The sequence below is a fragment of the Homo sapiens genome, chromosome 3, assembly GCF_000001405.40.
Source record: "Homo sapiens chromosome 3, GRCh38.p14 Primary Assembly".
NCBI lineage: Eukaryota > Metazoa > Chordata > Mammalia > Primates > Hominidae > Homo > Homo sapiens.
Window position 1 is genome coordinate 118,887,745 of NC_000003.12, and position 16,456 is coordinate 118,904,200.

General features: G+C 37.3%; 1 protein-coding gene across 11 annotated transcripts in view; it reads right to left on the reverse strand.

Moving 5' to 3' along the window:
- Nucleotides 1-12,812: 12,812 nt before the first annotated feature.
- Nucleotides 12,813-16,456, reverse strand: part of IGSF11 (immunoglobulin superfamily member 11) — a 245,464-nt gene continuing 241,820 nt past the window's right edge. For all 11 annotated transcript variants that reach the window (NM_001353320.2, NM_001353322.2, NM_152538.4 and 8 more), the window contains one exon: nucleotides 12,813-15,217. In NM_001353320.2, the coding sequence (NP_001340249.1) occupies nucleotides 14,776-15,217 (442 nt within the window). In that variant the 3' untranslated portion in view covers nucleotides 12,813-14,775. The remainder of the gene's footprint in view (nucleotides 15,218-16,456) is intronic.

Below are 16,456 nucleotides of genomic sequence, written 5' to 3' on the forward strand. Positions count from 1 at the left end.
ATGGAATAATACTTAGTTACATAAATATTTCTTAAAATAATAATCGCCCAAGAATATAATAGTTATAGAAAGCAAGGTACTGGTTAGGCAAGTGGCTCACGCCTGTAATCTCAGCACTTTGGGAGGCAGAGGTGGGTGCATCACGAGGTCAGGAGTTCAAGACCAGCCTGGCCAGCATGGTGAAACCCAGTCTCTACTAAAAATACAAAAAATTAGCTAAGCATAGTGGCAGGTGCCTGTAATCCCAGCTACTGGGGAGGCCGAGGCAAGAGAATCGCTTGAACCCCGGAGGCAGAGGCTGCAGTGAGCCAAGATCGCACCACTGCACTCCAGCCCGGGTGACAGAGTGAGACTCCATCTCAAAAACAAAAACAAAAACAACCAGCGAGGTACCAACTGTCTACACAGCGTGATTTTAATATTTTTTGAAGTATATATGCATTGGGATAGTTCTCTGGGGCCATTGCTAAGACAGAGGGTACTCCACTGTGGTCAACAATTTGCCTAATATTTCTATGTCGCAGTTTCTTGCAGGGAGCATAACAGAAGAGCATAGCATTCAGACAGTCCTGGAGTCCTGTGTGCTCTTGGATTAACTGTAAAATGTATTCATTTTACTTGGCTGGGCACAGTGGCTCATGCCTGTAAACCCAGCACTTTGGGAGGCCGGGGCAGGCAGATCACTTAAGTCCAGGAATTTGAGACCATCCTGGGCAACATGGCAAAACCCCACCTCTACAAAAAATACAAAAATTAGCCGGGCACAGTGGCACACGCCTGTAGTCCCAGCTACTTGGGGAGCTGAAGTGGGAGGATCGCTTGAGCCTCGGAGATCAAGGCTGCAGTAAGCCAAGAACGCACCACTGCACTCCAGCCTGGGTGACAAAGTGAGACCCTGTCTCATTTAAAGAAAAATAAAAGTATTCATTTTATTCAATAAACACCATTGGCCATAAATATTATGTGCTCAGAACTAAAAAATGTGAAGGTGTTCCAAATCTATCACATGAAGGCAGACATTTAAACAAATAAATGCACTAGTGTTTCAGATGATGGATGGATGATGTACAGTGGGGGCCAAAAACGAGAAAGAGAGTGCTCATTTCTATTGGGAGATAATGCCTGACCTGAGACTAAATAAACATAGGTTTCCACCAGGAAGTCAAGGAAGAAACGAAGAGCAATCCAGGTAGAAAGAAGGAGCACAGAGAAGGGTGAATCTTCGTGGTAAATTCAGGGCTTAGCAGGCATACTGCCATGATTGGAGCACAAGATAAGGTGGGGATGGGGCTGAAAAGTGAAATCTGGAGAATGGAGTGCAGGCAGAATCACGGAGGGCCTTGTGTGCAATGCCAAGGACTCTGGACACTCTAAGCCACTGATTCTTACAATACACATAGCCTGTGCAGCTTTAAGGACGGCAGGTGCCTAGCTCACCCCCAGTAACACTAATTAGTTGGCCCTTGGTGAGATTTGCCATGTTTTATTTTTTTACTCAACCTCTTTGTGTAGGCAGTGAGGGGCCACTTAAGGAATGCAATAAGCAGAGGTGTAGTATCACAGTTTCAATCAGCTACAGTGTGGAGAATGGATTGGAGGTATACAAGATTGAAAGCAAGAGATCCAACTAAAGAGACCATCATGGTGGCCCAAGTGAATAAGGGCAAAAACACAGGCTAGAAAAAATGCAGGTGGAATACAGAGGAGAGGAAGGATATTGAAATGTCAAGTACACAGTCCAGACTTACTATAGAGGCAGGGATGGTGTGAAAGCGTGGGTTGGATCATGGGGTTGAAACTCCCATGATCTCCTGCATCCCTCCTAAATGCACAGGTAAAATAAAAACAGATATTTTCTGTGCTAAAAGAATCACAGGAAAAATCCCCCGCCTTCCCTTCCTCCATCCTCCACACTTTCCAATAACTTGTTGCCTCTAAGTAGTTCTTCTTTCTGAAGTCATAATTAGTGTCTGGGGGCAAAGAAAGGAGACATAGAGGTGGAAAGGAATTAAGAATGACTGCCTTTCCAACACTTCAGGGAAAGTAATACTTACCTCAAGGAGTGAGAAAAAATAAGATAATGGATGGATTGTGTCTGGCACATGGTAGGCTCTCAAAAAATCACTTCCTTTTCCTGGAAGGGAGTGACTGAAGCCCAAGCCCTCCCCTTGCCTGAGCAAAAATTTCTACCCAGCTCTGTTTTCCTCTCAAACATATTTATAAGTTTTCTAGTGCAAGACTAAAATGACAAGATTTCACTTTTTCTCAGACAAGATTTTTTTTTTTTAATCCTATGGAATAAAGTCAGAACTGGATGAAGGATTTTCCCCTTTCTGCTGTGTTCCATCAATTGAGAAGAAACTCTCTTTCCTGATAATCTTCTCTGAAATGTAATATTTTTTTTCATCCTTATACTCAATGGGGGAAAAAAAGTACTAGCAGCAACACATCTGAAGATTCCTTGTACCCATCTAAAAGTTAACTCCTCTTTAGTGCTTTGCAAGTAAGCAAAAACACTACACTTCAAAAAAAAAAGCAAGCAAGCAAGCTGCAGAGGACTCTATGAAAGCTGTTCTTTTTACAGAAGTGTGGTCACAAATCAATGCATTGTTAATGAAGAGTTTCCTCTATAAAACTCTAGAGTTATGTGGAGACTCAAGACTTGCTTATGACTTCTCGCTGTGGGGAGGTGTGGGCTGAGTTTACACAATGGGGGCTTTCAGCCCCATTTACTTCAGAAGAGCTTTGCCCAAGAAGCCTGATGAGAGAATTGCCCTTTTCCCCTCCTTTCCAAAATGTCAGCCCGGATTGTTTCAAGAACTAGGGAGAGCAGTGTACTGATCTAAATCATTGAAATATTCCTTGAAAATTTAAAATTACCAGAAATGCACCGTTTCTTTTTCTTCTGAAAGCACAAACATTAGAAAATACTATATAGCAATTAGGAGCCAGGTTGCCTATATTTGAATCCAGGTCCCAGGTCTTCCCATATAAACTTAGGCTAGTTACTTATCACTTGTACCTCGGTGTTATTATCTGCAAAATGGGATAGTGTTTGTACCTATCTCATACAGTGGTTGTGAGGATTAAAATGATTTAATAGATGTAAAATGCTTAGAGCAGCACCTGACACATAGTTTCCTGTTACTCGATACTATTCAGAAGAGGAGAGCTCCAAGCTGGATCCACCCATGAAGCTGCTGGAAACAAGTCTGCTTAATAACAGATATTGTAAATACTGGACCACAGGCCACACAGACCCACAGGAATGTATAATTAAGCAGGATTTAACTTAAAAAAATTCATTGCCGACATATACAATCCAAGAGAGATACAAATAAGCATTTCTGGCTTCTCTTGAAGATTCAAGAGACCTGGCCATCCTGGACCCAAGTCCTACTGACCACTCTTGGTGGGAGCTGAGTAGCTGCTAACCTCTTTAGGCAGGGCATAAATCTCCAAGTCACCATGCTCCCCATCTGGCCCAGTTCTCTCATTTACTTTACCTTCACAGGCATTTCAGGTTGTGATCTCTATACTAAAGGGATTGGGGCTCAGAAATCACAGCCTCGCCTCTACTTACATCATAATACAGGATCAGCACTGTGAAGTTGGAGGGGTGAACACACCTTGATCTCTGGATGACTGAGAGAGGGGAGGTGAAGAAAAGAGTTACAACCTGGTTGTATGTGAGACTCAGGTCTTCTCTAATCTCTCCAGTAGAACTTCCGTTTTTCTCCTTATAAAATTCAAATACATGACTTAAAAAGTAAACCAGTAACAGCTACAATTTATCTATACCATTTTATATACATTATCTAATGGTATCCTCAGACCTATGATGTAGCAATTATAATCTCCATGTTATATCCCCAGAGAGGCTAAACAGCTTGCCTCAAGTCAGTAGGAAGTGACGGAGCTGGGACTCAAGTGCAGGCCCAGGGTAGCAAAAGGCATCCTTCTACGTAGAATTTCCTCCAAATTCACCATGTCTTCAAAGACCTCTGTGTTCCCCTCAAAACTTCTCGCCTACGGGAATTTCCTCAAACGCATCCTCCCCTAGCAATAGCTCTGACTGTAGAGCTGAAGGTGGTAAGGGAACTAGTGTTTTACACAAATTGCAAATGCCCTAGGAAAGTGATGAGAAAGAATTAAACGGCTGTGAGACCCCCCCGAGTGTGCAGAAATTAAGAGGAGAAAAACTCAAAAAGCTTGACCGCATGGAAAAAATTATTCTAATAGTCTTATAAGTCAGAGATGGTAATTTTATTAAATAATTTTTTTAATGGGCAAAGAATGACTAGAAAGAATAAAGAACTCTTGTCTATGCCAGGCCAAATTTGAGGCAGTACCAAGACCTTTACTATTTATTGGCTATCTTAATGGAAGGACAGTATATGGCAACAGATGAGCAATGCCCTTGGCTCTACATCTTACAAGCTTTATGACCTTGAGCAAGGTACTTAACCCATGAAAGCCTGTTCCTTCATCTGTAAAATTAGCATAATACAGTACTAAAATTGAAAGTGTTGAGGATTCTATGGGATATACACAAAGTGTCCAGTATGCTGTCTAGCATACAGTAGGTGCTCTATAAATGCTGATGTTCTCCCACCCTCTTAATTATCCTCAGCGATTTGAAATTGATAGTAATCAGAAGATAAGTGTGTTATTTTGGAACAAAATGTGAGGAAAAGGGAAATAGGAGAAAGTATTTGGGTAGACAATAATTACCGAGGCTTCTCCTTTCTCTTAAACAAAAAAATGTCCCAAATTGCTATTTTATATGCAGTAGCACTCAAATAGTACTTCTGGCAAAAAGAGTTGAAATACTGAGTAGGTGTAAATGACATAGCTATTGCCTAGAAATTTAAAGCTTCTGAACTACTACGAATAATGGCAAATATCAAGTGTTTACTATCACCAGACACCATGATATTCATCTTATGTGCATTATTTCATTTAGTACTCACAATCTCAAAGATAACTATTATATTGTTTCTATTTTGTAGATGAAACTGAGCCTTAGAGAATTTTGTAGTTTGTCCAATGTAATGGACAACTGAAGCTCATTCATATATATATATATACACACACACATACATATATATATATATATAGGCATACAATCTTGTCCAAGCCTCAAATGCAAAACTGCTGCAAATCTGATAAACTGAGGGAGCAACTGATGGATGATAGAGAAATATGGCTTCAATGTAAGTTATAATAAGCTAAATTATCTATTCTAATCTGACCTCCTAAAATTAATCAGGTATCAACTGACCTCACTGTGTTAAATACATAGTAGGCACTATACTTATTGCTTTGTTTAATAAACTTGTCTCTATCATTAATGTCTTATGATTAAGTCAGAATTTTGTGCCTTGCCTTTACCTAAAATAGGGAAATAATACCTTCTTCACAAGGAAGCTGTGAGGAAAAGCTATAAATAGCTGTATACACATAGAATTTACAAGTCAACTTTTCTCTGAATTGCATTTATTGTCTCAGCATTTTTTCTGTGAAGTTGAATATCATCTTACTTAACACAAGTGATTTGTCCAAAAGAGGGCTATTTGAAGGCAAAACGACGAGGATCCCAGATCTTTCTTTTTAGACATTGGTTCAGTCAGACAGAAATATCTACTGAGAAAAGCAACTGACAGATTACTGAATAGTCTGGGAAAAATGTTTAACCACCTCAGTTTCTGAACTTGTAAAATATGAGTGATGATAGCGTCCATGTAGAAGTGTGATAAAATTAAATAAATTAGTACTTGAAATGCATTTTTTCATGTACTGCCATGTAATAAGCATAACAGATATTTTCACACAAAACCCTTCATAATTACTTAAGATTCTTCCAAACCACTGCATTAAGAATGTTATCTCCACAGCTTTCCCAAACAATACTGCATCTCTAATATAACATCAAATGCCCCCAAGGAACTGGCACAATCATTTGCCACATGAGTAAATGACTCTGATGTGGCCTTGCTTTGGGAATATTCTAATATTTGACTGCTACTTTTAACACTGAAGTTAAGAGACCAAATCATATATTTTCAGTTTCATGAATTTAGCGCATCCTTCAAGCACTTTCTCTGAATACAGCAACGTGTTAAGTGTTGTGACCACAACCAAGATATAGAAGTAGTAGTCCCATATGCTTGAACTTGCATAAACATCCACTCATATACTTACACGACTTGCAACTACTTGCTCACAGATGTGGATCCCTCCTGCAATATGGACTTTTTGAGAATATGGCTGCAGTTACTTCTCTGTTTTTACCTTCAACACCCAGAACAATGTTTAGCACATAATTAAGGATCAAAAATGATTGTGGAATAACTCATTTTATAGTCCAGCAGGAGGGATCAATCATGTACACAAATACAGAAATATAATACAAACTGTGGAAATTCCATTACAGGTAGTAAACGCTATACCTCTTTAGAGAGGACAGTCACTTCTCATTAGACTGAAAAAGAGAATTTATAGAGGACAATGTATTTGAATTGGACTTGTGGTACCAGAAGATTTGGGTGGAGATTATAGCTGGAAGCTGTAGCGGGGGGAAAAATGGAAACAAAAAGAAAAAAATTTACTTCAAGGGAAGGTGAACAGGTCTGGAGCAAAGTTTGCATGTAGAGGAGGCGCAGACGTTAAGAATGAAAGAGGCAGTGAACTATTTGTGGAAGAAACTGAGTAAGTCAAGGCAAGGAGTAACAATTTTATTTAATACACAATTGAGAATCCTTAAAGCTTTCAAATAGTAGGGTACTATGAGATTTGTTTAACTGATGATTATTTCAAAAAGTAATGATTCAGGACTTCCGGTTCCAGCCAAGATGGGATAGGCCCATTACAAACTCCATTTTAAGACGGTCTAGCCTCTTAAAATTAACACAAAATTGACATAACACAACAAGCGAGCATGGGAAGACCCTAAACCGTAGAGAGGCGGCAGACTTCCTGAGGAAGCTGGGATTCCCCCAGTGGGGAGCTGAGCCACTACTTGCACTTAGCATTAACAAGGTGGAAAGAGGTGGTGTAAGGCAGGGCAGGTGACACTGTTTCCTCCTTCCTCTGGTTTCTGCCAATGGGGAGAAACCCTTCACCCTTCACCTACCATCAATAAGCCCAAATGAAGGGGCACTCCACTTCCCTTCCCTGCTCCACTGGTGTCAGCAGGGAATCAGGACATTGGGTTTCTACCCTTACCCTATGACAACAAGTGGTGTGGTGTCACCAGGGCCCAGTTTGTATTTCCTCTTAGGAGCAACAATGTGGTGCAACTTGGTGCTCCACTTTCACCAAGAAGGTATAAGCAGAGCCAAAGGAGAAGCCATCCTTCTACTGTGTTCATCTGCACTGAGGCAGTATAAACATTCCACTTCTGAGGGGGTGCTGTCAGTGAGACCCAATGGTAGACTCAACATGTACAGATCCAGAGTCCCATAATATCCGAAGTGTCAAAGAGAAAATAGTCACTCATCCCAAGAACTAGAAAAATCACAACTTCAGTGAGAAAGGACAATCCACATATGCCAACATCAAGATGAATCAGATGTTGAAAGTATCTGACAAGATATTTAATGCAGCCATAAAGTGCTTCAATTATAAATTCTCTTAAAACAAACAGAAAATTTACAAAATGTCAGTAAATAAATAGAAATGAAGTAATACATGCTACTATATATGGATAAATGTAAAAATATTATGCTAAGTGAAATAAGCCACACACACACATAAAAACAAAACCTCACATATTATATGATACAATTTATAAGACAGGTCCAGAATAGGCAAATCTACAGAGACAGAAAGTAGGTTAGTAGTTTCTGAGGCTAAAGGTGGCATGGAATGAGGACTGTCTGTCAGTGGGTACAGTTTTCTTTTTGGGGTATTGAAAATGTTCAAATATTAAACTGTGGTGATGCTTCTACAACTCTGCATACATATCAAAAACTACTGAAATGTATACTGTATACGAATTAACTTTATGGTATGTAAACTATATTTCAGTATAATTTAAGTTAATAGTCATATTTTATTTAAAAAAGGAATGTCATCAAACTAAAAAGTCCAGTAACTGAAATAATACCTTGCTGCCTGGGTTCAACAGTAGAATGGAAAAAACAGAGGAAAGAATCAGCAAATTTGAAGTCAGCTCAACAGAATTTACACGATCTCAATAACAGAGATATAACAGACTGAAAAAAAATAAACAGGGATAATAACAAAAGATCCATCATTGGAGTCTGAGGAAAGATATGAGAGAGTATTTTAAAAGGTAATGGCTGAACACTTCCCAAATTTTTCAGCTGCTGAAAGAAAAGAATTGTCAACCATGATTATGATATCCAGTGAGGGATGAAAGGGAAACAGAGACATTCTCAGACAAACAAAAACTAATAGAATTTGTTGCCAGTATAACTACTTTTAAAGATCGGCTGAAGGGTTTTCTTCAAAGGAAATGACAGAAAAAGAAATCTCAGACAATCAGGAAGGAAGGAAGAACAAAATAAACCCAGACGTATGGATGCATACACTGGACTTCTCCTCATCAGTTTTAAAAATCATCCCTGATCATTAAAACAAAAATTATACAACATCTTATACTAAAGAAAAAGATATTTAAAATAGCGAAAGAAAAGGGATGTAAATGGAATTAAGTTTCCACACATCAAAGTGGTAAAACATTGATACAAATAGACTGGGGTATATTATGTGTCCATGTTTTAATACCTAGAACAAACACTAAAAATACATATGTATATACACAAAAGCAATATACTAAAAACACTATAAATAAATCAAGATGGAATCCTACAAGTTATTCAAGTAACCCACAAGAAGGCAAGAAAAGCAAAATGGATAATGAGAAACTGAGGGAGAAAAACAGATCATGCTCTGATTAAAAAGACAATAAGGAAATAATACAAACAATTTTATGCTCATAAAATTGACAGCCTAGAAAAAAATCACAAACCACAAACTAGATGAAATAGTCAACCTTAATAGTCCTATAACCACTAAAGAAATGGTATTAGTCATTTAAAACCTGAAATAGAAATCTCCAAGCACAGATTTCACTCAAGATTTCCATAAACACACACACAAAAATCCTCATCAAAATATTAACAAATCAAATCCAGCAATGTTTAAAAAGAATTATACACCATGACCAAATGGGATTTATTCCAGGTATGCCAGGCTGCTTCAACATTCAAACATCAAACAATGTAACCCAGCACATAAACACACCAGAGAAAAAAAATAATAATTATGTAAATAAATGCAGAAAAAAACATTTAACAAAATTCGACACCCATTCATGACTAAAACTCTCAGAAAACCAATAGAGGGAAACTTCCTCAACTGATAAAAAACATCTACCCAAACCTACACCTAACATCATATTTAATGGTAAAAGAATGAATGCTTTCCCCCTAAGATTGGAAAAAGGGAACATCACTTTTATCTAGCATAGTACTGTTAAGTTCTGGTCATTGCAAGATGGTAAGAAAAAGAAATAAAAGGCACACAGTTTGAAGGGGAAGAAATAAAACTACACCTATTTTCAAATGACATGATATTGTATGTAGAAAATCCCAAGTAATCTATAAAGAAGTTTAAAAAAAAAACCTCAGAAGACATAAATCAGCAAGGTTGCAAAATACAAAACCAACCACATAGAATCCAATCATTTAATCCAATCATAAAACCAACATTTAAAAAACAGAATCATTTACAATTGCTTCAAAAAATTAAATACTTACGTGTAAGTCCAATAAAACATGTATCATATCTGTGTCATAAAAGTTATAAAATGCGAATGAAATAAAATTAAAGAAGACTTAAATGAAGAGACATTGTGTTCATGGCTAAGAAAACTCAACATAGTAAAGATGTCAATTCTTCTCAAAATGGATTCTATAGCCTTCAATGTAATTCACATATGAAAATGGCAAGGTGTTTTGTAGACACAGACCACCTTATTTCTAAAATTTACAAAGGCACAGACCTAGAATAGTTAATGTAACTTTGAAAAAAAAAGAACCAAGTGGGAGAAACCACTCCACCAGATTTTGTTAAGGCTTACTAAATTGCTACAGTTATCACCACAGTATTGATGGAGGGGCTGACACACACACACACACACACAAATCAATGGAACAGCTAGAAGACTCTGAAAGAGATTCACACAAATATGTCTAAGTGATTTTTTACAAAGGTGCAAAAGCAATTCACTGAAGGAAGGACAGGCTTCAACAAATGTTACTGGAGCAACTGGACATCCGTAGACAAAAATATAAACCTCAACCTAAACCTTATTATTTTATAAATTAACTAAAAATGAATCACAGAATTAAATGTAAAACTCTAAAATTTTTATGAAAAAAAACAAAAAATCTTCAGAACCCAGGCAGGTCTAGGCAAAAATTTAGACTTGACATCAGATGTACAACCCAAAAAAGGAAAAATTAAATTGCACCTCATCAAAATTTAAAACTTTTGCTTTATGAAAAACTGAAGAGAATGAAAAAGCTATAAACTGGGAGAAAATTTTTGCAAACAATATATTCAATAAAGGATTTGTATCTAGAATATGTAAAAACCTCTCAAAACTCAACAGTAAAAAAAAAAGCGTTCTAGAAAATGGGCAAAAGACACAAGCAGATATTTATTGAAGAGGGTGTAGAGATGACAAGCACATGAAAAGATGTGCTTAGCCATCAAGGAAGTGTGAATTTAAACCATTATCACAAATTTCCCATGTTCTCACTCACAGGAGTCAAAATGAGTTAAAAATTAACACAATTGTTCTCATAAAGATAGAAAGTAGAACGATGATGATCAGATGATGATCAGAGGAAGGGTGGCAGGTAGTGGGGGAAAGTGGGAATGGTTTAGGTGCAAAAATATAGTTAGAATGAATAAGATCTAGTATTTGATAGCATAACAGGTTGTCTATAGTCAACAAAAATTTACTGTTATCTTTTTAAATAACTAAAAGAGTAAAATTGGAATGTTCTTAACACAAAGAAATAATAAATGCTTGAGGTGATGGATACCCCAATTATCCCAATGTATCATACATTGTGTGCTTGTATCAAAACATCACATGTACTCCACAAATATATATAACTATTATGTACCAATAATAACTTAATAAAAGTTTTTAAAACCACCATAAGATACGATATCACTACATACCTATCAAAATGGCTACATGTAAATTTTTGATAATATCAAATGCTGTCAAGGATTCAGGGAAACTGGGTCACTCAGACTGCTGAAAGAATTGTAAAATTATATGGCCACCCCGGAAAATAGTATGTCATTTTCTTTCAAAACTAAACATGTACTTCCCACATGCAACCCAGAAACTGCACTCCTGGACATTTATCCCAGAAAAATGAAAACTTATGTTCACACACAAACCTATGCACACATTTATAGCAGATTTATTCCTGATAGCCAAAAACTAGAAACAACGCAAATATCCTTCATATCATCCAATGGGTAAAATAAACCGTGCTACCTCTTCTGTACCATGGGAAACTACGCGGCAATAAAATGGAATGGATTATTGATACATGCTACAACTTGAATGGATCTCAAAGAAATTATTCTGAGCAAAAAAATTTAAAAAAGCAAAAGCCAGTCCTCATACTGCATTCCACTTATATAGCATTCTCAAAATAACAAAATTACAGAGATGAAGAACAGACAGTGATTGGTAGGAATTAGGGACTTGGGAAGGAGGGTGGTGGCTATGACTATGAAAGGGTAGCATAAGGAATCCTATATCCTGACTGTGGTGTTGGTCACATGAAATGTACATGACATTATTGAAAGCTGAAACCCTAGGAACAGAAATCAGGTCAGTGATTGCTAGAGAGTGGTTGGGGAGAGTGGTTTAATTACAAGGTAAGGAGGGGATTTTTGAGGGTGATGGAAATATTCTGTATCTTGATTGTAGTGGCTGTTACATTCATCATACATCGCACACACATCACTTTAAAATGGTGAATTTTACTGTATGCAAAATATGCCTCAATAAACAACAAAAAAAATCTGTTTGTAAATAAATGAATGTAAATACTCCAAAATGTTAAGAGTGGCATTCTGTAGGTGGGAGTATATTACTTGTTGATTTTTAAATCTTTTTTCAGTATTCTGTATTACTTTTTAAATAAATAAAAACTAATAAAAGTTTTAAAAAAATCTACACGTGTGATAAACCTGTATATAAATAAATGTATACACACGAGTGCATGTACAAGTGTGGAAATCTGAATATGGCTGATAAATTATAACCATGTCAACTTGTGATACTGCACAATAATTATGCAAGATGTTACCATTGGGAGAAATAGGTAAAAGGTATATGACTTCTCTATTATTTCTTACAACTGCATGTAAAAGTATAATTATCTCAAAATAAAAAGTTAAAACAAAGGAATGATCCAGTACACATCAAGAGCTACAATCATGCTCATAACTCGACTTAGCAATTTCAATTCAGAAATCAGCATTTATCTACTCAACACCCACATGAGGCACCGTGGTAGGTGATGGAGATTCAGCGGTGAAAAAGGCAAGCATAGAGACTGTCTTCATGAACTTTCACTCTAGGAAATGGGAAAATAGCTCAATGTATGAAGAAGGTCATTAATCTTCAGTCATATGGGTAAGAACTGGAATCAAACTAAATTTAAGAGAAAGATTAAGTCATTTTTGGAATAGCATGTGCCTGTTAAAATAATTATAAATATTATTTAACAGGATGGAGAAAATCTTGTAACATTAAAGAGAATACTAAGTTTTAAAATGACATACTCGTTAGTATTGATAATTAATGACAACTTATTTTATATGAATAAAATTTTATTGAATTTTAGATAATTAGAAAGAATAAAGAAATGCAAGATAAATGCTTTCTAAACAGCATCTGATAGCATCATCTTTTCAGTGTCATGGTATTTTCACTTTTCTTTATAAAAAGTATAGACATTCATTTATTTAAATTTTTACAAAGTAAGAACCATCAAATGGAAAAAAAAATAAGTAATGCTAAAGTAAATTCAGCTTTTTATCAATACTGAAATGGTTGGCAATGGTTAGGTTCTGAGTGTAGCCTTCTTGGAAAAACAGTGTTTGCAGCAGCTGTTGGTTTCCATTCATTCACATAACTGAAAAAAATGTCAGGAAGCCACTCCCTGTGAAGACTACGCTTGCAGGAGAAGAGAGCAAAAAGTATGGTGGTAAGAGGGAGTAAGAGAACACATCCAGAAAGAAAAGACACTCTTATTGAGACATGGGATGAGTATCATAAGTAATCTAGGAAACAAATCTGAGAAGAAATTTGTGGGTTGCTTAAGTGTGGTTAAGGCAAGACAGTCACTAATGCAAGTATGGCCAGATCTACATAGCACAAAATAAAGTGGGGGAGTTTGTAAATTAATCTGGTGAACCGCAAGGCCAGCCAAGCCAGGTAGTAACCACAAAAGTAATCTCTTTACAGTGATGTAAAATGCATCTGGGCAACACTGCAACCCTGAGCTGACACAAATGTAGGGTAGACACTTCCAGGAGCACACCAGAAGATAACACCTTTAGTCTCAGTCTTACCTCTTTTGCAAAAAGCATTATTTTGAAAAACGAAACAGAACAAAAAAACGTCTGCCCTCCCTGACAAGTAAGTTAACTTCTACTTGTCAAATAAGGAGAAAGTTACATACCTCAGTACAAAAGGCATCAGGTGCTGCCCTCATTAATAGTAACCTACTGTAATAGCAAGGGAGATCTGAACAACCTTGCTCTGAGAGGCTGCCCAGCAAGGCTACAACCCCTTAGCCCTACCTTCCTGCCCACACAACCTAGCTCGGTCATGATATGATGGACCTCTATGAGCTCACTAAATACAACCATTGAACAAGGTATTATACAACAGTCTTTTCTTTCTTAGCCCAATGCCTCTCATGTATTTAAAAAAAAAAAAAAGCCTTTTATAAAAAAATATTTTTCCAGGAAAAAATAAACAGTAATTGCCATGGACCTGTAACAGATCCTAGAATAACACAGACAGGCAAGAATCTGTCAATATAGCAATATTCCACATATGAAATTCATGGTTCAGGAAGAGATAAATAAATAAATATGAAGGGGCTTCTCAAAGACGTTTCCTTTGTCTTCCCCCATTTCTTACTGAATTTTGCTCATGTAAAAAGTTTTGATTATATGATAGAAGAGTCAGCCCTGTTGGGACCAATATTAACCATTTATACCATTAAGCCCTCTATATAACGAGGGAATTGGGAGAGACGGAACATATCACAGGGTTGCTTGTTATTTTCTTAAAGACACCTACCTTTTAAAATAATTTCAATATTTAAACTCCATCTGGCACTTTAATCTCTTAAAAATTATTAAGTTAGGCATGAAGAACAAGCCCATCTGGGCGGCAGTTTGGATTTTAAGTACTATTCTGCTCTTGTATCTTTTTCCTTGGCTTGGCACATCTTTGAGATCCAGCAGAATCCCAGGACATCTTTGGTGGGGAAGCAAGTCTTCATGATGGAGCATTTCAGTCCATTTTACACATCTTAGTGGCCAAGTAACAGCACTGCCTTCTTCTTTGTGCATTTTACTAATATAATTATAAGGAAGTGTTTCTTTCCCAGCACTCCCCACCCCACCCTCCCCCTTGTATGAGGGCATTCCATTTATTCATTTCTGAACACAACATTTCCTCATGTCCTATACCAAGGACCCGGCCCGACTCTGGGCTGGTACCATGACAGGTACTGCACCAATTCGTTCCAGTGTTGCGTGGCTGATGGTGTAGGAATGAGTGTGTGGAGGCCGAGGCTTCCTACTGACTGAGCCATTGCTCCTGGACATCACCTGTGGTGATGACCCTCTGTTGGCTGTCACTACCAGAGTCTTATGTTGACCCGGGACCAGATGGGTCCCATTAGCATAAATGGATGGTATGTTGGCATTGCCTGAGTGGAAAGAGAAAGATTGGCCCAAGTCACTGAAGTGGCTGACTGACTCTGTGTTTCTATGAACTTTTGGATTGTTGCTCCAGTATCGACTGTTGTAGGCATTGGAAGAGGTTAGTGTGTTGTTGTCCGAGGAGGAAATCTCAGTGTGAAATGCTTTGGCAGAAGAACACTTGGGTGGAAGATCATCCTCTCTGAAAGGAACAAAATAAAGTCGTTGTTAGGATTTACTTCAAGTTAATCCTATCCTCCTACCCTGGAATCTTTCTTTTCATGTCAGGGCTTATACATCCAAAAAACAAATCCAGGAGAGACTACTCTATCGTGAAAGCAGGCATGGCAACCCTGGATGGCCTCAGCTTTGGTATCCATTCCCTTTGAGACAACGGTCAAGAAAATCTCTCCTCAGCTTCTCAGTCTCCAACAGTAGAAAAGGAAATCTCAGATCTCTCAGAGAATGTCTCTTCCAATACAACTTTTAAACATATATGTAAATAACATTCACATAAATATGTTTATATATCATATAGTAAATATATAACAAATCTTGCTTTATATATATAGTAAATATTTAGTATCTTGCTTTATATATATAGTATTCATATATAGTAAATATTTATTCACACATAAATATTTACTGTAAGTAGGAAATTAGTCCATGAAGAAATCTACTAAACTAGGTGCCATAAAATAGCTGGGAAATCAAACTATAGGTATGCAGAACTTAAAGAAATAATCAGAGTTGGCCTGATTGTATTACCCTTTGGAGTTTGAGAAATCACTGTGGGGTGCTGATGAGAGGTTTTCCTCAGTAATCTTATCCTGGGGTAGACTCTATCCCTGCATATGGCCCAAACGCTTAAGAATTACAACAGTCTAAAAGAAGTCATTTATTTAATTTAAGATGCTAACCAATTCATTTAACATTTATTGGGTACACTTTACAATATGTTTCATGTAAAAAAGACACAAATCCTACACCTAAGAAACCTATAGTCAATGAGGGTAGTAATCAGTGCAAGAATGTTTACGAGTCTGAAAGGTTAGGCAAGGGGCTAAAGACAACTTATGTGAGGAGGTGATGCCTGGCCTAATCTAGAATCAGATCAAGGAATTTAGTAAAGAGATGGATCAAATGAAAAGCATGGTCCAGGAAGAGAGCAGAGGCTTGAGCAAAAGCCCTGAGCAATGGGAAAATGCAGGACAGACTGGAAGGCAAAGTGAGCTGAGAGTGATGAGAGAGAAGATACGCAGGCAAGAATCAGATCCTGTAAGGCTGTGGTATGTCTCACTATGGAGACTGGAGTCATTACAGCATTTTCAATAAAGATATGCCATGATGAAATCTGAGACTGAGCCCGAACCCTCAAATCTCCCCAGTATGACTAGAGTCACTTTTCTTTAAAGATGATGTTGGCATTGTTTTCTTAAGA